Here is a 19,930-nt window from a genome sequence, read left to right as displayed (position 1 = left end):
TGTCTGCCCACCCACCCAATGGCTCTCTTGGGACCCCAGGTATAGGAATGTGCCTGCTTCCCAGCATGCTACCTCCTACCACCCAGCTCCTAGGCTAGGAATGTTCAGAGGAAGGAGCCTAGGGGTGCCTCCTTCAGGCCAGGACAGCCTGCTGAAATGAAGACAGCCCCTGGAGACATATATACACTTCAAGCAAAGGAATTCAGCTGGAGGCCAGGCACGGTGGCTCACGCCTGTAATCCCAGCACTTTGGGAAGCTGAGGCAGGTGGATCACATGAGGTCAGGAGTTCCAGACCAGCCTGGCCAACATGGCAAAACCCCATCTCTACTAAAAATACAAAAATTAGCCGGGCATGGTGGCAGGCACCTGTAATCCCAGCTACTCAGGAAGCTGAGGCAGGAGAATCGCTTGAACCCACGAGGTGGAGGTTGCAGTGAGCCAAGATCATGCCATTTCACTCCAGCCTGGGCAAAAAAGGAAAACTGTCTTTAAAAACAAACAAACAAAAAAAAGGAATCCAGCTGGGCATGGTGGCTCATCCCTAGAATCCCAACACTTTGGGAGGCTGAGGCAGGATCACTTGAGCTAACAAGTTCAAGGCCAGCCTGGGCAATATGGCGAAACACCATCTCTATAAAAAATACAAAAACTAGCCAAGCATGGTGGTACACGCCTCTTGTCACAGCTACTCAGGAGGCTGAGGTGGGAGGACAGCTTAAGCCTGGGAGGGAAAGGTTACAGTGAGCCGAGATCTTGCCACTGCACCACTCCAGCCTGGGCGATAGAGCCAGACCTTGCCGCAGAAGAAAAAAAAAAAAGGAATGCAATACGGGGAAGTAGCATCCCTATACCCCCACCAAGATCTACACAGGAGGAGGTCCCAGAGTCCCATGCCTGCATCCCTGGGCAGAAGATACCAGGCAAGGCAGGGCCCTACCTAAATCCCCACGACTACTGGGGCAGGGGACTTGAAGCCCACCCCCTTCACCCAAATCCCTCCCTCTCGCTCTGCCCACAGCCAGTGCAAGACGATCAAATATTCATCGCCTCTCTGAAGCTAAATAATACATCAATGTAATAACAGGCACAAGGCAGCTAATCACCCCCTTTCACCTCCCGGCCTAAGCTAGGGCCACAGCAGGGAGGCGGGCAGGGACAGGCCAAGCCTTGGGCAGTCAGACATCCTGCATGCACCCACCACCAACTGCTGTGTCAGTGGCATGCACCTGGTGGGCAAACACCGAGTCCCGCTGGGGTGTCAGGACAGGCCCTGTGAGAGGTGGGCAGACCCCTTGGCCCCAACACCAGGGAGTGGGTGGGCGGGCTGGAGGGGAGGAAAACAGGCTGAGGAGCTGGGGAATGTGGGAGCTGCCACTACAGCCAGCTGTAGTGGGTGCCAAGCAGTCCTTCAATGACCCTGACAGGCAGTGTTTGGGAGGGAAGGAAGCTGGGTGGGTGGGTCAAGGAGGGGGAGGCAGGCAGCAGAGGGAGGTCACAGTAAAGTGAAGGCACTCTGTCTTCCTGCCCTGGAGGCTGCCTGGGCCTGCTGACCTTGTGCCATGTCCTGTGCCCACAGTAGGGGCACTGAAGAGTGTCTGCCGGGCACTACCAGGCAGAAGGGAGCTGTACCCCATGGAGGTAATTAAGTGGCAGATGAAGTTAACTGTGTTGGACACAGGCCCCTAGGGAGTAGAGACTGCTCCCAATACCCTCCTACCCAGCCCTAGCTGACACGTCTCCCTAGGGTGACCTTGGCTGTTGAAGACTGGATGGGCAGAGCATCTGCTAAAGAAGGAGGAGAGGAGGGACAGTTCCTCTCCCCACAGCCCTGTACCACTCCTAGAAGTCACAAACTCCACCAGGTTGGCCAAGGATAAGGCCCCCTGGGACCATCTGGGATGTAACCCAGCAGACCCCCTTGTGCCTGAGACAGCCCGGGGTCACAGATCATTGCAGAGGGGTGGGCAGGCAAGCAGCCTTCCAGCCTGGACCTGGGGCCTTGAGGCTGCCAGCAGGAGTGTGGGCTGGCCCTGGAGAAAGGCACAGGTGACTGATCTCCTGGCTCCCCTCTGCATGCTCCCTGGTTGTTCCCTGGCAGGGAGAAAGCAGCTGGCTCTGGGTGGGGCCCGTACTGAGGGACAAGAGAACACTTTGCTCCCCTCCTTACCTTCCAGATCTATGCCAATCTTACTTCCTGCTGAGCCCCACCCAAGGGACTCCTTTCCTGAGCAGCCTCAGCCCCCTCCCATGAACATCGAGCTGTCTGTGATCTTTGTTTCCAAGGGTACTCCTGCTGCATCTGGAGGGAATCCAGGCAGGGTCTTTGTATCTGTGTTGCCAGGAGGTAATGTGTGTGAATCCACATCTATGTAGATCCATGTGTCTGGGAACAGGCAACTCCACATGTGGGTCCTCAGGTAGGTGGGTCTCCTTCCTCCCTCTGCCAAGCATAGCCTGACACCCACAGTGCCAACCCAGAGAGGGAGGAGCCTCCTCAACCAAGCCCCTGGAGTCCAGAAGAGAGGAGCTCCAGGAGGGCCCCATCCTCATACCCCACCTTCTGTACCTGTGCCATCCACCTGGGTGTCAATGGCCTCCACAAGCCCCCGCCATTTCCACTCTGTCTCCTTCATCTCAGGCACATAGAAGTCTCCCTGCCGTGCCAGTGGGCACATGAAATGGATCTGGTCTTCCTGGTAGATCTCCAGCCGAGGATAGGCACACAGCTTCCGCTCCTAGTCAGAGAGTGGCAAAAGGTAGAATGAGCCCTACAGGGCCCCTGACTCACTTGTCCCTGGGTGACCCCCAGAACTGTCTATTACCTATTCTGTCCCAGGGGCTGGCTCTGCCTCTCAACCTCTTCCAAGTTCCAAAGCCCTGCTGAGGGAGGCACACATAGATCACCCTAACAGCAGGGCCCCATAGTCCAGAGTGCAATAATAGTCTGAAGACCCAGGACGACACCCTAGGGCAGGTGGTAAAAGAACCCAGGAGCCTGGCACTGCTCTCCTATGTGTACATCTGAGACCAAAAAGCTGTTCCAGAAGGCACTGGTCTCACAGAGCCATGAAGCTTGGCACCCCTGGACCACCCCAGGATAGGGACCCCATGTGCCTAAGCCAAGGTCTCACCTACCAGACTTTCCATCCCAGGACCCCCTGGCCCTGACCTCCTCTCCACCCTGGACAACGCTGACTGACCCACAGATATCAGAAGACCAGCACCCCCAGTCCTTAGGCCTCCAGCCCCTGCTCTTGCAGACATGCTACTATAGACCCTGAACAAGGATCAAGGCCAGCTAAACACCACTTCCACTCCCATTCATTCCCCTGCTAGTTTAGAGCTATGTCAACCTCTGAGACTATCAGGTATGGTTCCCATACCTCCTCACATGTAAACTCAGGTTTTAGCTGATGGGGAAGAGGGAGACCCTGGACTGGAAGGTCAGGTAGGACAAGTAGATCTAGCACAGGACATTACCCAGTGGGCTGATGTACCACCTTTTGGGCCCCAAGTTCCAAAAGGCACTCCACCTCCCTCTGCCTAGACACAGAATCCAGTGCTCCCCATCCCCCAATGAGTATGGAGGGGCACAGACATGCCAGAGCCACCCTGAGGCAGGCAGGGACAGCCAGAACAGGGGTCAAGTTGCCTCTTACTCAGAGCCTGCCCCGCCACCTTTCCTGCGAAGGAGCACAAATACCCACTATGATGACTGCAAGGCCCCTGCCCTGTCACTGCTCACCCGCCAATCTTCACAACACGACTATTTATAGCATTCGCCCCGCTCTCACCATGAGCTCTGAAATGAGCCTTCCACTTAGCAGTAATGAGAGACTTATTGCCTGGCAAGGAGAAGCCACTCCAAGACTCCACTTGTCCACCTGCCTGGCCAACCCTAGGGTTGAGGAACCTCCTTCAACTAAAGCAAGCTAGCAAAGAAGGGTTAAAAGCAAGCCCACGGATGATAAAGGGAAAGAGGAGTGAGCCTGAAAGGTTTACCTAGCTAGGACCCTCAGCAGCCAGCTGAAGGGAGGGTGCATCTAGGAGGCCACGCGGGAGGTGGATGGCCTGTCCCAGGTCTGGCTGTGGCTCAGCCTCTGACTCCATGGGTGATCCAGGCAAAGCCTTCCATCCTAAGTCTCCATGTGCTCAACAGCAAAGTAGAACACCCTAGCCCTGATGCTTCCAAGGTCGGTGAAGGAAAGTCATTATTTTTTAATAGTTGGAGTCAAATCTTCTTTGCCAACCTGGGTGCCCTCGGGGCTTCCTCCATCTCAAGAGTCCATGCCCCTGACACGTCCCATTTCTAAACACACAGATGGCTGTCTTTGCTTCTCTACCCACTCACATACCCACTCCAGCCTTGGTCTCCAGGAGGAGGCTAAACAAGATCACAGTGTCAGGAAGCAGGAGCTGTCAGGCTCTGGGGCCCCTCCAATGCCAGCACTTAGAGGCAGGCATCTGCCAAACCTGAACCCAACTCAGCAAACTGGTCCAGGTCACTGAGGCCAGGGGCAGGGAGGCCCCTGAAGAAGGTCCAGGTCCTTCCCCAGTAGCTAGATGAAAGAAAAGGATCCCTGAATCTAGTCAGGGCATGGCCTTCACCAACATCCTCACACTCTGGACAAAGGACCCAAAGGGTAGTAGCTGAGTGGCCATCACAAGAGCAGCAGACATTTGGCTTTTGGGGGAAGATCCCAGAGGACAGAGCCTGTGTCCACCCAGAGATTCCAGGGACAATGGGGACCCTAGCCCAACCCCTCTCAACACTCAAGCCACCTCCCTAGCTTCCCTTCTGGAGGAACTTGGCCATAACAAGATAATAAGAGGGAGTACTGCTCTTTCCACCCTCTCCCCTAGGCTGGGCAGCACCAGGCTGCCACCCTGTGCCACCTGTTCTGCCAGCCCCCTCGTTGGCAGGCGGGAGGCAGCTCTGCGGCTGTTCTGCGCATCTGCTTCCTCCGGAGAGCCCGGCTCTGAAGTTGCCTGGCTGTGGACAGCCCCGTTGCCATGGAAACTGCATCCTCCATCCTTGCCGTCGCCTTCATCTCAAAGCCATCAGGGAGAACAGAGGATCAAGGGAGACAGAGGATGGAGAGAAAACTGTGGCCCTGCGACACAGCCCTTCCTTCTCTGCCCAGCTCTCCCTCCTCACAGCATCTCACACAGGGAGCACCAGGTCCCAGAGCCTGCTCCCAGACCCCTGGAGGGGCAGCCTCAGGCCCAAAACTAGCCTGGTCCTACCTGCTGTTACCTGGGGGCCCTGGTCCTCCCTACTGGAGGGAGGCATGGAGCTAATTAAAATGCCATTGACTGTTCAGCCCCAAATCATTATAGCACATGCACCAGGTCCTACCAAAATTCAGACTTGGGCAGAGAAGGGACAGGAAGAAGGCAAAGGAGCAAACTTCTAAGCCAGGCCCACAGGCAGAGAAGGGGCTTGTAGTTGCCCCCTGGCCCTTCCTGGGAGACTGCTCTCCCTTGCATGCTCTGCCCACTGAGCAAGAATGACTCTAGTGGGGGCTGGGGATGGAAGGTGAGGGGCAGGACAAGCTATATGCTCTGTCCCTGAGTGATCAGGCAGAGAGGACAAGCCCTTTCCCTCCCAGCCAGGTGCAACCTCGGAGGGAAGACAGGGTGACCATGGGCTGGCTCTCAGGTCCTTGCTGCACAGTAGGAGCCATGGCCCGGGCAATATGTCAATGAGCCAGTAAATATTGGAAAATCATTGGAGGAAGGCGAGGCCAGCTGCCTCTCCCTCAGTTAGCCCCAGGGAGCCCTTGGAGAGCAGACTGCCAGTGGCCAAGGACACTAGCTCAAGGTCACACTGGGCTGGTCCCACTGGTGAAGAGCCTGGGTGGGCCTGGGGTCCTCCTAGCCCTGGCACATCCCCTTCCACAGCCCAGACAGCCAGCAGTGTGTGGAAGCATTGCCAGGACATGAGAACGTGCTCTGCCACTGACACCACTGGCCATCTAACAAACCCACAGCCCAGAGCAGCTCACTCCCACACACAGACCCAAGGAGACTATAAAGCCTCTTTCCAAGGTGGGAGAGTTGCAGATGTTCACATTCCTCTCCACCTAACAGGCAAAAGTCAGTGAACCATGCCAAGGTGCCCCCAGGGTCTGCCAGAAACTGGATTCAGAGTTCCAGTCCCTCAGACACACCTCCGGGCCTTCCCTCCCACCTGGGTCTTCCACATGCAGAAACAAGATGGGGACTTGGGACACCACCCATGATGCAGGAATTTCTAAGAGACCCCAGACACCAGCACTTCCCCACCACCACCCCACCCTGCACCAACACCTGCTTACTCACTCAGGAGTGTTGGCAAAAAAGGGAAGGAGCAGCTCACCCACCTCACACAGGCTGCCACAGTGCCACTGCGTCAGCTACCTTGGGGACACACCACACACTCCCACCTCACTTCAGCCTGAGTTCATCTCCTGGGCAGGGTGCAGGCATTTACCCCATTCAGCTCAGGGCTCCCACAACAGGGCAAGACTGATACACCAGGCCAAGCTTTCCCCCACGGGACCCACAGTGCCTCCCCAGCAGGTCTTTCTGAATTATGGGAGAGGAAGAAAAGAGGTAAGAGAGAGGACCTGGACCTGAACTATCCTCATTTAGTGCTTTGTATTCAGGACATCACCCTGTGCCCTGGCTTCAGCTAGGGATTGGGAGCAAATAGAAGACAGAAGAGGTCAGGCCCAGGACGAAGGCTGATGATGGGTCCCACTCCCAGGCTACCCAGAGGCTGGAGGTTTGCTTAGAACTAGGTGGCTGCAAATGCCCAAAAGAAGGAGGCAATGTGTGGGCCAAGGACGGGTCACATCTCCTACATAAGCTCTAGGCCCAGCAAGGGATGAGGTCTGGCTGAGGGGCCCTGGGCCTTGCCTTACTGTTCACCCTGAGCTACCCAGTCCTATCTATCCTTCTGTGCCAGGCTGGATACCCAGGCAGCTGCACAGCCAGCAAGCAGCTGTTGCATCCCACCCGAGGTAGTGGCGTCTCCTCACTGGGTGAAGTGATGCATGCTCATTTTTAATTACAGACACCAACATGCACCTGCCTGCACACAGCAGTCCCTGCAAGTGGGGACTCAAACCCTGGAGGCCCCTCAGGCAGCTGGTCTTCATGGCACGTGCATGCTTTGGGGAGGTATAGCAAGAGGCTGCAGCTAGAAGGTAGCACGTTATTATTCTGCCCGGAAACTTTCCTCTCACCCCCACCAGGCTGCCCCAAAGCTTCTGGCCCAGAAGCCAGACCTGTCTGTTGGTGCTCTGGGGCCTTGCCACAGCAGCAGGGAGAGCCTGCAGAAGGGCTGGTGAGCACCTTCCCCTCTCTCTACTCTCCCCTCACACCAGCAGAGCCCAAAGCTCTGAAAATGGCAGGCAAAGGAGACAGGGAGTAAGACAGGATGGCCAGGGAGGGAAAAGAGGAAGCAGGAAGTGGCAGAGAGCACCCCAGGCAGGAGCCTAGGGCATTGGCTTGGCTACACAAATCGGTAGCTTCCCTCTGGCCCTCAATTTGCCCAAGTATGAAATAAAGGGTCTACAGTCATACCACCCTGAATGCACCTGATCTTGTCTGATCTCAGAAGCTAAGCAAGGTCGGGTCTAGTTAGTACTTGGATGGGAGACTGCCTGGAATACCGGGTGCTGTAGGCTTTTGGCCTATCGTTCCCTCCCTCTTTCCCTCTTTGGCCAGGCGCGGTGGCTCATGCCTGCAATCCTAGCACTTTGGGAGGTCAAGGCGGGTGGATTACTTGAGGTCACAAGTTTCAGACCAGCCTGGCCAACATAGTGAAACCCTGTCTCTACTACAAATACAAAAATTAACCAGGTGTGGTGACAGGTGCATGTAATCCCAGCTACCCGGGAGGCTGAGGCAGGAGAATTGCTTGAATGCGGGAGATGGAGGTGCAGTGAGCCGAGATCGCGCCACTGCACTCCAGCCCGGGCAACAGAGCAAAACAAGAAAGAAGGAAAGAAGGAAGGAAGGAAGGAAGGAAGGAAGGAAGGAAGGAAGGAAGGAAGGAAGGAAGGACGGACGGAAGGAAGGGGAAGGGAAGGGAAGGGAAGGGAGGAAGGAAGGAAGGAAGGAAGGAAGGAAGGAAGGAAGGAAGGAAGGAAGGAAGGAAGGAAAGAAAGGGATTAGAATAGATGATCTCAAAAGAAGTGAGGAACTGGAAAGGATGAATAAAAACACCATTATGTGACGGTAAGAAAACTATACTCAGAAAACCCAAAAAGAATCAATGGAGGGACTACCACAAACATTAAGTCACAAAGGTAACTCAAGCACAGCCCATTTTTCTGTGCAACAGATCAGCCAAGTAGAAAACATAATGGAGGCCGGGAGTGGTGGCTCACGCCTGTCATCCCAGCACTTTGGGAGGCCAAGGTGGGCAGATCACCTGGGGTCAGGAGTTCGAGACCAGCCTGGCTGACATGGTGAAACCCCATCTCTACTAAAAATACAAAAATTAGCTGGGCGTGGTGTCGGATGCTTGTAGTCCCAGCTACTTGGGAGGCTGAGGCAGAAGAATTGCTTGAATCCGGGAGGCAGAGGTTGCAGTGAGCCGCGATCGTGCCACCGCACTCCAGCCTGTGTGACAGAATGAGACTCTGTCTCAAAAAAAAAAAAAAAAAAAAACATAATGGAAACGAGATATAATGGCCCTCTTGGGGTTAGGTCGAGCCCAGGGCCAGCCTGGGAGCCACCGGCTGAAAGGCAGGGAATGGCAGAGGAGCCAGGGAGGCAGGTCCAGGCCTGGGTGGGAACCTGGGGAAGACTGCAGGAGTGGGAAGGTGTGAGAGAGAATGGGGCGGGAGACGGTGTGCTGTGCCTGGCACCCCAGCCTGCTGCGCCTGCTGCCGCCACTGCCTGAAGACTTTTCATTTTCACCTCAGAGCCGGCAGCTCACCACACAATTTACACCTCTATTCATCTCCCTGGCACGACGCAGGCCCTGGCTTCCTCGGTGTCCTGTGGAGGAGGGCCTAGGCAGCAGTCAAGCACAGGGCAGCCTGGGGTATTGAGGGGTGGGGAAACAATGTTTCCCTCTAAGCAGGCACATGGGACACAGGCTCTTAAGCACCTTAGTGCCCAGATGGACTGGGAGGCCCCTAATCCTGCATCCATACCCAGCCTTACCTTTCTCTAGGCCCAGAGGGCCAAGATACAACCCTGGTTCAGCCCTGCTCTGGCCTTCTTGGGCCTGGGCCGTTGTGTGGCCAGACCAGAGGGTTGGGGAGTACAGGAGTGAGTACCCCAAGGAGAGCTCAGCTAGAGCACTGGGTGAGTCAGCCCTGATCCCATTGCTCTCCCTTGCAAATCTGGGAGGAGAGCCACAGCCTTCCAGATGATGGCTCTACCATCGCAGGCTCCACAGCCCACCCCCTCTCCAAGATCCAGCATTCTTAGCAGCTTGTCTGTGTAGTCAAGGACCTTGAGCCCTGTCCTGCTCACAAGCTGACAAACTGGTTGCTGATGATTATCCAGCAGCAGGAAGGCTGCTCGTACAGATGGAGCTGGGAAGCCAAGCACCTGAGAGCCAGAGGAGTCAGGAATTGCCAGAGGGGAAGGACAAGTGGGCAAGTGGGAATGGAGAGGAGACAGGGGACAGAAGAGAGGGAGAGAAGGAGAAGGCCCTGAATTTCTCATCTCCAACTGGTACCTCTGACCTCTGCTCCACTCCTCAGTGAAGTCCTTTCCTTCCCACCTGCATAACTAGACAGCTAGCCTCTCCTAATCTGAGGGCTCAGCTGAAGAAGAAGTTGTTCTGCTTGGGGGAGAGGGGGTGCACTGCAAATTCTCTCCTTGGAATCTCTTTCCCCTCCCTAATTCCAATCTCAAGCTTCCTGGAGAAGAGCAACAGAATTCTTCTTTGATAAGTAAATTCCATCTGCCTGGGGAAGAAGGCTCCCTCTGGACTGGTGACAGCCCAACCCCACAGCACCATCCAGACAAGCTTCAGCCCCCAGGGTCCTGCAGGGCTGCCAAGCTACAATATCCGAGCTGGTATTTTGAGAGTGGTGGCTCCCACGCCGCCCTAGCAAAGGCTGGCTTTGTGCTTTCATTCCTGGGGGAAGGGAGGGAGGTGGGGTAAAGCCAGAGAGGCTAAGGAGCAGGTTCCAGTGCCTAGGCCAACAAAGGGGAGAGGCCTGGCTCCCAACACCTCAATACCCAAGGGTAGCTCCCTAAGGGGAGCCGGGGAAGCCAAGCCGTGGTATGGTGGGAGGATCGCCTCTTGGCTTGGGGACATCTGGGAATGAAAAGTCACTGCTACTTTCAGCTAACTTGCATTATCTTTGTGCAGAATTTGACTGTGGCCTCTGGCTCTTCCTCCCCATCTCCTAGGTACTGAAGAGACTTGATCTGAAGCCCAGCCTGGATACTGTCACTCATCTGCTCAGACGCCATCAGTGTCTCCCTAGTGCCTGCAGGACCCAGCCTATATCTCTTAGGCCCAAACTCTTGCTCCTCTCCTGTACTCCAGCCTCACTGGATACACAAGCCATGACTGCCACCAAGCCAGTATCTCTGCCTGACCTGCCTTCCCACCTGGGGAACACTGCCTACCTTATAGGTGCAGCCCAAATGCCACCACCGCACAAGGGTTGTTTTGCCTTTCCCAGCGAATCTATCCCTCCCCTCCCCACACCCAGGCATGGCTAGGCTCTGTGGCTGGAGGAGGTGGAAGAGGAAAGAGTGCTGGAGGATTGTCACTCAGCTCCAGGTCCTGATGCTGCCAAAAGTGCCCTCCTCCCTGTGCCAGAGCAGGCCACTTAGCAGGTGGCAGTACCAGCAGGTAAGCCAGCCCTTGAGATCCAGGGAGGGAAGCCTGGGAATAGAACCGCCTCTGCCTCACTGAGGGTGTGGACAAGAGGCCCGATAAGGTGCCTGCAGCAGCTGCTTCCTGTGCCCAGAGCAGTTCCCAAGGCCTGCCTTAATGAGTGCCTGCTGGGCAAGCGGGTACACAGCCTCTTCCTGTGCTTTGCCTCGGCTCCCCCAGCAGTCTCCTAGACCTGAAGCCTCAGCCTCCAACTGTGACTACCAGGGTTGGAGAAAGAAGGAAAGAAAGCCCACCCTGGGGCACCATCCCGAGCATATCCCAAATTGATGACAAGTTCTCAGCCTCTTGGTTCCAGCCCCACTTATGTACAGGATGGAGTGGCAAAAGGCATATAGCCATCGGAACGATCCTCGGCCTAAGGGACCCAGTCTGGACTCAGCTACCGCTCCATCCCTTGACCTTGGGGCACCTTCCTTCCCTAGGCCTCAGCCTCCCCATCTGTAAAACAATGGGGATGCTGGCTTTGATTAGGACTCTATGACGCCTCCTAGCTGGTTCCTCCATGCGCAGAACAATGACACACACAAGAGACCTCAGTAAATAACTGCTGAATAAGTGACTGAGCTGAGATGCCAAGAGGGCCTCCCTTGTTAAAAATAAAGTTTGGAAGCTTCCCATGTTAGCTTGGCAAAGGTGACAGGCAGGAAGAGGGAAATGACCACAGATTTCACATTCCTGCTGGGGCTCCCTCACCTGCTTTTTTTTTTTTTTTTTTTGAGACGGAGTCTTGCTCTGTCACCCAGGCTGGAGATCAGTGTCGTGATCTCAGCTCACTGGGCAGTGTCGTGATCTCAGCTCACTGCAACCTCTGCCTCCCGAGTTCAAGCAATTCTCGTGCCTCAGCCTCCTGAGTAGCTGAGATTAGAGGTGTGTGCCACCAAGCCCAGCTGATTTTTGTACTTTTAGTAAAGATGGGGTTTCACTGTGTTGGCCAGGCTGGTCTCAAACTCCTGACTTTAGGTGATCCACCCACCTCAGCCTCCTAAAGTGTGGGGATTACAGGCGTGAGCCACCACACGTGGCGTCCTCACCTGTATTTCCCCGGCCGAGGCCTTGTTGCTCTGCACTGGTGTTTTGGCCCCAGTGTGGACTCAGACCCACCGACTGACTCCCTCAGGGTCACTGAGGCAGACTAAAGGGAAGCAAACACAAGCGGTTCTGTGCCCACTGGACAGAACACAGGCTGTGGCCAGGCTGTTTCGAGCTTCCTCACAGCCACTGCTCAACAGGCTGACCCATTTCCACAGGCAATCTGCTGGGGCCCACAGGCCTTAGTTCCAAGCTGGCTGCCCCATAATGCTATCACCCACCACTCAGGAGTTCAGTCACCACCACCCCAGGAGAACTCCAACCTGCAGCTCCCCAGGGTCCCTCCAGGTCCAGCTTCCAATCAGTCACACTCCCCTCAAGACAAGTGCCTCTCTTTGGAGCTCCTGCCCTACCTGCACAAGGGCTGGGCCCTGGTGCCTCCCAGCTCCACTCATACTGCAGTTACAGCATCCTCAGGATCGAGAACAGACATGTAGTGGGCGGGACTGGAGGTGGCATCTGCCCAGTTTTGCCCCTCTCTTAGGACAGAGGTTTTCAAACCAGCTGAGCCTTAGAAGCTCCCTTCCAAACAAAAGCTCAAGACACCTGGGTTGTAAAACTCACAGGCAGAACTACTCCAGGTGAAGCAGGAAAGGGTCTGAGTACAGCTCCCACCACAGGCTGATAGCCACAGGGCACCTCAGCACAGCCAGGGCAGTCTGAGAACTATGGTCTGGGGTCCTTGCCTTACTTTCTTACTTTACTTCCTTCCTTCCCTTTTTTTTTTTTTTTAATGTTTTTACTTTTATTTTTTTGAGATGGGTTTCACTCCTGTTACCCAAGCTAATGTGCAATGGCGTGATCTTGGCTCACTGCAACCTCTGTCTCCTGAGCTCAAGCAATTCTCCTGTCTCAGCCTCCCGAGTAGCTGAGACCACAGGTGCACGCCACCACGCCCAGCTAATTTTTTTGTATTTTTTTTCTGTAGAGACGAGGTTTCACCATGTTGTCCAGGCTGGTCTCAAACTCCTGAGCTGGAGTAATCTACCTGCCTCAGCCTCCCAAAGTGCTGGGATTACAGGTGTGAGCCACCATGCCCCCTTCATTTATCTATTTATTTATTTTTGAGACAGAGTCTCACTCTGTCACCCAGGATAGACTGCAGTGGCACAATCATGGCTCACTGCAGCCTTGACCTCCCAGGCTCAAGCGATCCTCCCACCTCAGCCTCCTGAGTAGCTGGGACTACAAATGCCTGGCTAATTTTTTTTCTGTTTTTTTTAGAGGCAGGATCTCACTTATGTTGCCCAGGCTGGTCTGGAACTCCTGGGCTCAAGTGATCCTCCCACCTCAGGCTCCCAAAGTGTTGGGATTACAGGCATGAGCCACCACACCTGGCCTTATCCCCTTTAAGCCCCTGGTAAGACAGTCCCAGTCAACCCAGCTGTCCCAGAATTCGGCCACCAAGGTTCCCCTCACAGGCTCACTATATTCGGTGACCCCTCCTTACTTACACGCTTTTCTCCAATTTGATGGTGGATAGTCAGACATTAGTCTGACCTCCAGGGCCACCTGCACTCCCCAGCCAATCAGCCACTACATGAACAATGCCCTGTAACACCCTAAACTTGGGAGAGGAGGCTCAAACCATTTTACAAAGACCCTCCCCCTAAAAACTCCCTGAAATCAGAGACCATGGGGAAGGGCACTTTTGAAAAAGATTCTGGACGGGTCTGGGAGAGAAATCAGGCATGGGGGCTTGGCTGTGTGTCAAACACTCTCAATGGCCTTCCTCACCAAGTGCTACAGACAGATATGAGCAAACTGCACTAGAGACCTTACACACACAATCCCACACATCGAATTCCCAGGCCCATCCCTCAGTCCTGGTCTGTTCCATGTGTCCGAAGCCTTCCCTGGACACTCATTAAGACTGGTGAATTTGGGGGCCTCTGCCCATTGCTCTGGGCTCACATCTGGGCCCCATCTCCCCTCTGCAGGTTTGCAATTTCAAGCAAGCTCTGTTCCATCCTGCAGCTTCCAGAAGATACCCCTTTCCTGGGACTTGGGGAGTGGTCTCCTCCTGTACTAGAGGCCACCTCCTTGGACTCCAGCGGAGCAGCCTGACAAAGCTGAGGCATCTTCCATATGGAGTGATGGTCACACAGTACGCATGGATTCCAGGGGAATGAGTGTTCAGCCTGGGGGCCCTTAGCAGTTTATATGGAGAAAGGCAGAGTTCCAGCATCTATAGCAGTTTGCCAGGCTGCCAAGCTGGGGAAGGCTAGCCAGAGAGCCAGAGGCTGCCATGCAAACCAGGAAAGCTGAGATCAGCCATCCCTTCCAGAATCCCGAGAGTCCTGACAAGTGCTTCTCCTTGGGCCTCTCGCCGTGAACTTCAGGTCCCTCTGTCCCATGAGACCAATCCTGTTCCAGGCTCAGGCACATCTGCAACTCCCGGGACAGCAGCTGCTCTCCACCTCCCAAACCCGAAGCTAAGATCCATTCACCCCTGCCCCTCACCTAGCCTCTGGAGAGGCTGGTGAGCCTGCCAAGTCCTCCCCCCGCAACTCCTGGCAGCAGGGCTCCTGGCCTCTCTCACCCCTGCCAAAGCAGAAAGCTGACGGCTGCTGTCATTCCATTTGAAGAGCCTTCACAGCAGTCCCAGATCCAGAGAGAAAAAGAAGGGTGTACACACGCGCACGCACACACAGTTAAAAGCTGTCGGTGCTAGAAGAGTGAGACGCAACTAGTCTCATTAGTAATCTCCTTTCTCTGACCTCAGGGCAGGGGAGATGAAGGCAGGGATGGAAGGGAGCCTTATACTCTCTCCTTGCTGTCTCCTGGGCTGAGAGAGGCACAGGGCCACCCCTGTCCACTGCAGGCTGTGACCAGCAAACAGAGCTAGCCCCTTCCTCATCTCTCCCCTGGCTTTGTTCCCCAAGACGCAAGGTCAGGCTAAACACAGGGGCAGAGGCAACCCCCACACCCTGCTGCCAAAACAAGCCCAGGACCTTCGGCCATGCCTCTTCTGTGGGCAGCCGGCCTCTATCTTACTCTCCCCGCTGATGGCCAAGCCCACACAAGCATGCCTCACACCTGTCTCTGGGAGAAGCCCCTTGCTCTCCCCCATATCACTGGCTTCCTTGTCTCAACCCCCACTCCAGGAGCACAGCTGACAGGCTCCCATGGGAGCGGGGAGGAAGGAGGAAGGGCTTTCATCAAAGAGGTGACGTCAAAACCAGGCAACTTGTGAAGCTGTCAGGGGCCGGGAAATTTGGACAAAGGTGTCTAAAAATAAACCCCTGAAGCCAGGAAAAGGCTTTGGTGGCTGAGTTGCTCACCACCACACCACATGCCACATGTCCTGTTCTGAGGTCTGGAACCCAAGAAGTCTCTTTCCCAGGGGTGCCCCTCCAGATGGGCCCATGAGGTTGAGGATGGCACCGACAGGACTGGAGAGGCCTTCCTTGAATGAAATGGGGCGGGACTCCCCAGAGGCAGCACACTAAGCAGGCCTAGGGCACTGGTATCTTCCTTCCTGCCCACACCACCAGCCAGCCCGCCCCCACCTCCAGTCCAACCGCAGCCAGGCAAGCACATCCTGCCCCACACCCCTTTTGGCCACCACCCTCCAGCTCACAAAGGAAACTCCCCTCTATTCTCCCTGTGCCCTTGCCTTATCACCGTGACAGCCCTCCCCTTTCCAGGTCTTCTCACTCCTGATTCTTCAAACCTGTCTTTGACCGCCAAGGACACAGCTGGTGACCCAGGGCCTCATTTATTCATTCCTCAGCCCCAACACCAGACTCCAGGGACATCTGAACTCCCATTTCCATCATCAACGCTGTGTCCCTTTCCCCAAGCTGCTTTGGTGAACAAAGTTGCAAGGATCCTCCAAGTGTACCAGGCTCTCACTCCCACTGACTCTCGTCCTGTTCCCTGACCCCTGCCACACTGGCCACGCCCTCTGCGCAGCCTTTGCTGCCACAGGCTGTCCACTGCCTACCTGGTCCCACAGAGGCAGGGAGGCACAGGGCAGCCTCCCAGGTCAAATACTGCCAACAGGCTGATGTCCCCAAATATATCCACCAGCCCAGCCTTTCCTCAACTCCAGGCCACACATACCATTGCTGACTCCACACCCCCCAACTTAGATGTATCTCAGGCAGCTCCCCTGACATAGCCCAAATAGCTACCTTCCCCCCAAAACCAGGGCCTCCCTCAGTTCCCCACATGTCAGTGAAAGCATCACTACATACTTGCCCACCTGCCCAGGCCAGAGGGGAGCAGAGCCCTCTGTGACTCCCTCACTGCCTCTCCTTCCACAACAGTGAATCCACCCAAAGTCTATCAGTTCTATCCCAAAAGTGATTGTAAATCTCCATCCTTGTCCACAGCTCTATAGCCGCTGGGCCTGCCCAAGCTGCCACCACTCACAATGGGATTCATGACAGCCTCCTAGGCTAATTCCTTAGCCCCAGGCCTAAGCATCTCCACCTGGTCCCAGATCTGTGGTCCAGTCCCACCCTGCCCAGAGATGGGACAGCTCATCTTGTACAGACGTGGCTCCAACTGTGTTATTTTCCTGGTTGGAACACTGCAGTGACTTCCTGCTGCATTTAGACCAAAGCTCTGACTAGAAGTTCTTATCTCCTCTCTAAAGGCTCTTCTAGGACTCTGCCTTGAGGTTATCTCCTCTGAGAGGCTGTCCCTGACCATTCTGTCCAAGTTGGTTCCCTGACTTTTCTCACCCTCTCCTTCTCTAGCACACGTCCTATTTTTGTCTGATATTTATTACCTATCTTCACCACCTCACTGTGAATGGCTGTTTCATGCACCAACGTTTCATTCACATTGTGCCCATTATAGCACCTGGCACACAGACTATAAATACAAGTTAAATGAATGAACAATCACGTCCAAGCCCAAACTGGGGTCATTTCCCTAGCAACCAAGTTTACAAAACGTTTAGGGGAGGAGGGATGTGTAACAGGGCAAGTTTTAAAAAAATTTCTGTAGACACAGAAACCCGTCAGATGACCAGGTGACTGGCTCTCCTTCCTCCAGGAAGGTTGGGCTGCCAGCATTGCCAGTAACCAAGTCAGGAAGTAAAGGAAACAGAGCCTGCCACTGCTGTCCCAGCCCTGGCCTCTGGGAGCAGATGTATAAGCCCATGCACAGGCAGGGCCACGGGCAATACATGATTACCTGGGGCCTGCCCAGACACTGGGAGCCTCAGGTCCTTGCTTTGCAGGCCTCCAGCAGGATGAGAATAAAGTGGCCTGTCCATTCATCTGAGCCAGGAGTGTGGGATAAGCACTATGGATGTCTTTGGTCAAAGCCAGAGCCAAACTAACCAGATCAGATTTATGAACAAGTTCTCCATGCTCTTGGGATATGCTCCGGCTTCCAAAAGATCTTGGGCATCTGAAAGAGATGCCAACAACCTCTGCCCATCTTCCTAGCTCCACAGGTACCTGTTCCATGAGGGCCCCAGGGTGCTGCTCTCCCAAAACCACTTCTTCCTCCCATTCTAGGCAGTCCTCCTCAGCTCCACCCAAGGGGCCTGGCTGTCCCCAACACACACACCCCAGGCCTGTGCCTCACCTTGATGTAGGTGTCCAAGGCAGGATGGACACGGCGGGTAGCCAGCCAGATGGACAGAATGGTGGTGTAGGGGAAGGTGGCTGTCACCACATGGCTGGGTGCCGGGAAGGAGAACACCTTGAAGCCAAATTTCTGGTAGAGGTCGATGAGCTCAGGGGAGGGCGATTCCTCACCTTCACTCAGGATGCTGCCCACGGCACATCGGCACTTATCAGGGGGCACCTGGGGAAGCAAAGCATGGGTGTGAGAGTTGGCCAAAGGAAGGAGGCCCTCAGACCTCCTTCCTCCTGGGACTGTGCCAGATCAGGCCTAAAAGAACCAGCAGCTCTGACAAGCCATGCAGCCCCAGATACCAGGACACAGCTAGCTATTTTCTTACTGGAACCCACCTATGGCCCCTGCCTGTGGCATCGTACCACAGGACTCTCATCTATTCCTTCAACAAACATGCCATGCCCTGTGGAAACCCAGGGATCATAGTGAGGGGTTAGACTTGGTCTCTGCCCTTCTGGAGGCCAGGAGAGGGAAGGGCGGAGAGGACCTCTGAACCATCACCCTCCACATGGCTCCACTGAGGGGGCCCTTCCACCCCACCATAAGACCCTCTGTCAGCCCCCACGCCCCAGGGCCACCAGCAGAACTGTACAGTGGCTGATCCTGCAGCCTGGGTCCAGCAAAATCCTATTAGCTAATTTCCCTCCTATCTCCTGGAGAAGAGCAGGCTTTACAGGCAGAGAAATTATGGCAGGCAAGGGAGCAAAACTGAGGAGTGGTAATAAAGAGCTCAGAGCCCTCCACGGTCATGCCCTAGGAAAGCAAGAACACGTGTGTGTGTGTTTACACACATGCTTGCAGGGTCAGGACCTGGCAAGTGGCTGAGGAGGGGCTGCAGGAAGCACCTGTCAGGACATAGGATTGGGATCACTGACATCTGGGTTGCTGGTGAAATTCTGTGAAGAGATCATCCTCCCCACCCCTCTGGCAGGGCCAGCTACCATCACCAGAGCCTCTAGACTTCTTCTGCAACCCATGGCCCATCCAGGGACCTATCCCACTTCCTAAGTCCCTTCCTGGCTAAAAGCCAAGACCACTGGTTCCCCTCCAAATCTCTGTAGGTTGCTAGTGCCTGCACTTCCCACTCTGCTTGCCTCCCTACCTAATTTCCCTCCTCTGGCTCCCAGAAACCTCAGCCATGTAAGGCTCCTATGTGAGCCTCCAACACTTCCTAGGACTGAATGAATGCTGCAAGGCCCAGTACTCATTTCTCCTCCTGGCATCAAGAGGCCTCACTTTGTCTCACCTACTGCTACCTGTTTCCCACGTCAGCTTTCCAGGTGCCTAAGTCTGTACCAGCCTTCAGACTGGGCCCTCAGAGACATATGATCTTGAATCCAAGAGATTCAGCACAGACCTTGTACCCTCAATCCTGGGTTTTGCTCAACTCTAAAGGCTCCTTTCTCCCTACCCACCGCAAAAAAATTTTTTTTGCCAGCAGTTCACCTTCACAGGGATGACCCCTAAGTTTAAACAGGCTTCTCCCTCTACCTCCACTTACTCCTCTCCCCAGCCCTCCTTCCCAGCACTGTGAAGTCATTATTACCTGTTCTCACCTCTCCCTCCCATTACAGCCCTTTCCAAGCCCTCTCTGAAATCCCCTGGGGGTTTCTCAGCCCTGAATGGCCTCCTCTACTCAGGCCAACCCAGGCCTTCCTTTTAGTCACAGTTTGCCTGGGACTTGGGCACCTATTCCAGGCTCTCACTTCTAAGCAGACCCTAACGGTCACCCTCAACTGTCTGCAGCTCTGGTCCCCTTGCAGCCCCCTTGAAGCCTACGGCATCCAAACCTGGCTCAGAGCTTTAGTAGCAGGCAACCGGGTGTAGTGGTCAGAAACACAGCTTGAGAGAGGCAGGCCACGGTGCGAATCTGAGTCGTGTGATTCTAGACAAGTCCCTTGGGTTCTGGGAGCCCCAGTTCCTCAATATCTACTTACAGAACTGCCATATTAAACAAGAAACTTCACGAGAGCTTAGCCTGGGTCCAGCATTCAGCAAATGCCCCATAATTGTGGTTATTAGTAGCTATGACACAGTCCAAACAACTGTCCATGGCCTAGAATGCCCGACCACCCAAACCTCTGAATATGCAGCTCCTCCCTGCCTGTCCTTCCGGTTCAAATACCCTCTTGAAGAGCCTTTCAGCGTGGCTCAGTGGCACTCTCTTCTCCCCCAGTATTTTGCTGTAAACTTTCTTGCCCTCCATAAGTCTACCTTGCACACAGTCACTTCTTTTGGCCTGAAGCTCCTCCCACCCCACCCAGAGGCACAGGAGATCACTGCAATACCATCTCTTGTCTCTAGATGGTGGAACTGCCCTACTCACACGCCAAGACTTGAGAATGACCAGATAGGCAGGAAGTTATCT

General features: G+C 54.9%; 1 protein-coding gene and 1 pseudogene across 17 annotated transcripts in view, besides 4 other annotated features; one reads left to right on the top strand and one right to left on the bottom strand.

Moving 5' to 3' along the window:
- The window catches only part of TEX264 (testis expressed 264, ER-phagy receptor), a 33,072-nt gene that overhangs the window by 2,181 nt on the left and 10,961 nt on the right, over window positions 1–19,930 (bottom strand). For 14 of the 17 annotated variants that reach the window (NR_024012.3, NR_103462.1, NR_103463.1 and 11 more), the window contains 2 exons: window positions 17,509–17,730; window positions 2,569–2,737 (listed from right to left, as the gene is read on the bottom strand). Coding sequence is in view for 14 of the 17 variants with exons in the window: in XM_047448276.1 (XP_047304232.1) it covers window positions 2,569–2,737; window positions 17,509–17,730 (391 nt within the window). In the remaining 3 variants the exon portion in view is untranslated. Of the gene's footprint in view, window positions 1–2,568; window positions 2,738–12,664; window positions 17,329–17,508; window positions 17,731–19,930 lie in introns of those variants that run through there. The other 3 variants (XM_047448278.1, NM_001243727.3, XM_017006574.3) reach the window with 2 other exon arrangements.
- On the top strand, window positions 7,561–7,678 carry RNA5SP132 (RNA, 5S ribosomal pseudogene 132; annotated as a pseudogene).
- Window positions 9,658–10,480: an enhancer, noted in NCBI's record as "H3K4me1 hESC enhancer chr3:51725679-51726501 (GRCh37/hg19 assembly coordinates)". NCBI's record gives its function as "activates a minimal SCP1, AML or CMV promoter by ChIP-STARR-seq in naive H9 embryonic stem cells {active_cell/tissue: H9 hESC(naive)}" and the evidence as "EXISTENCE:reporter gene assay evidence [ECO:0000049][PMID:30033119]".
- Window positions 10,481–11,304: an enhancer, noted in NCBI's record as "H3K4me1 hESC enhancer chr3:51724855-51725678 (GRCh37/hg19 assembly coordinates)". NCBI's record gives its function as "activates a minimal SCP1, AML or CMV promoter by ChIP-STARR-seq in primed H9 embryonic stem cells {active_cell/tissue: H9 hESC(primed)}" and the evidence as "EXISTENCE:reporter gene assay evidence [ECO:0000049][PMID:30033119]".
- Window positions 14,537–15,152: an enhancer, noted in NCBI's record as "H3K4me1 hESC enhancer chr3:51721007-51721622 (GRCh37/hg19 assembly coordinates)". NCBI's record gives its function as "activates a minimal SCP1, AML or CMV promoter by ChIP-STARR-seq in naive H9 embryonic stem cells {active_cell/tissue: H9 hESC(naive)}" and the evidence as "EXISTENCE:reporter gene assay evidence [ECO:0000049][PMID:30033119]".
- Window positions 15,546–15,595: a silencer, noted in NCBI's record as "silent region_14417". NCBI's record gives its function as "represses an Ori minimal core promoter by ATAC-STARR-seq in GM12878 lymphoblastoid cells {active_cell/tissue: GM12878}" and the evidence as "EXISTENCE:reporter gene assay evidence [ECO:0000049][PMID:35858748]".

This window comes from Homo sapiens, chromosome 3, assembly GCF_000001405.40.
Source record: "Homo sapiens chromosome 3, GRCh38.p14 Primary Assembly".
Taxonomy (NCBI): Eukaryota; Metazoa; Chordata; class Mammalia; order Primates; family Hominidae; genus Homo; species Homo sapiens.
The sequence above is the reverse complement of the archived record's forward strand: the minus strand, read 5'-3'. Positions and strand labels throughout refer to the sequence as shown.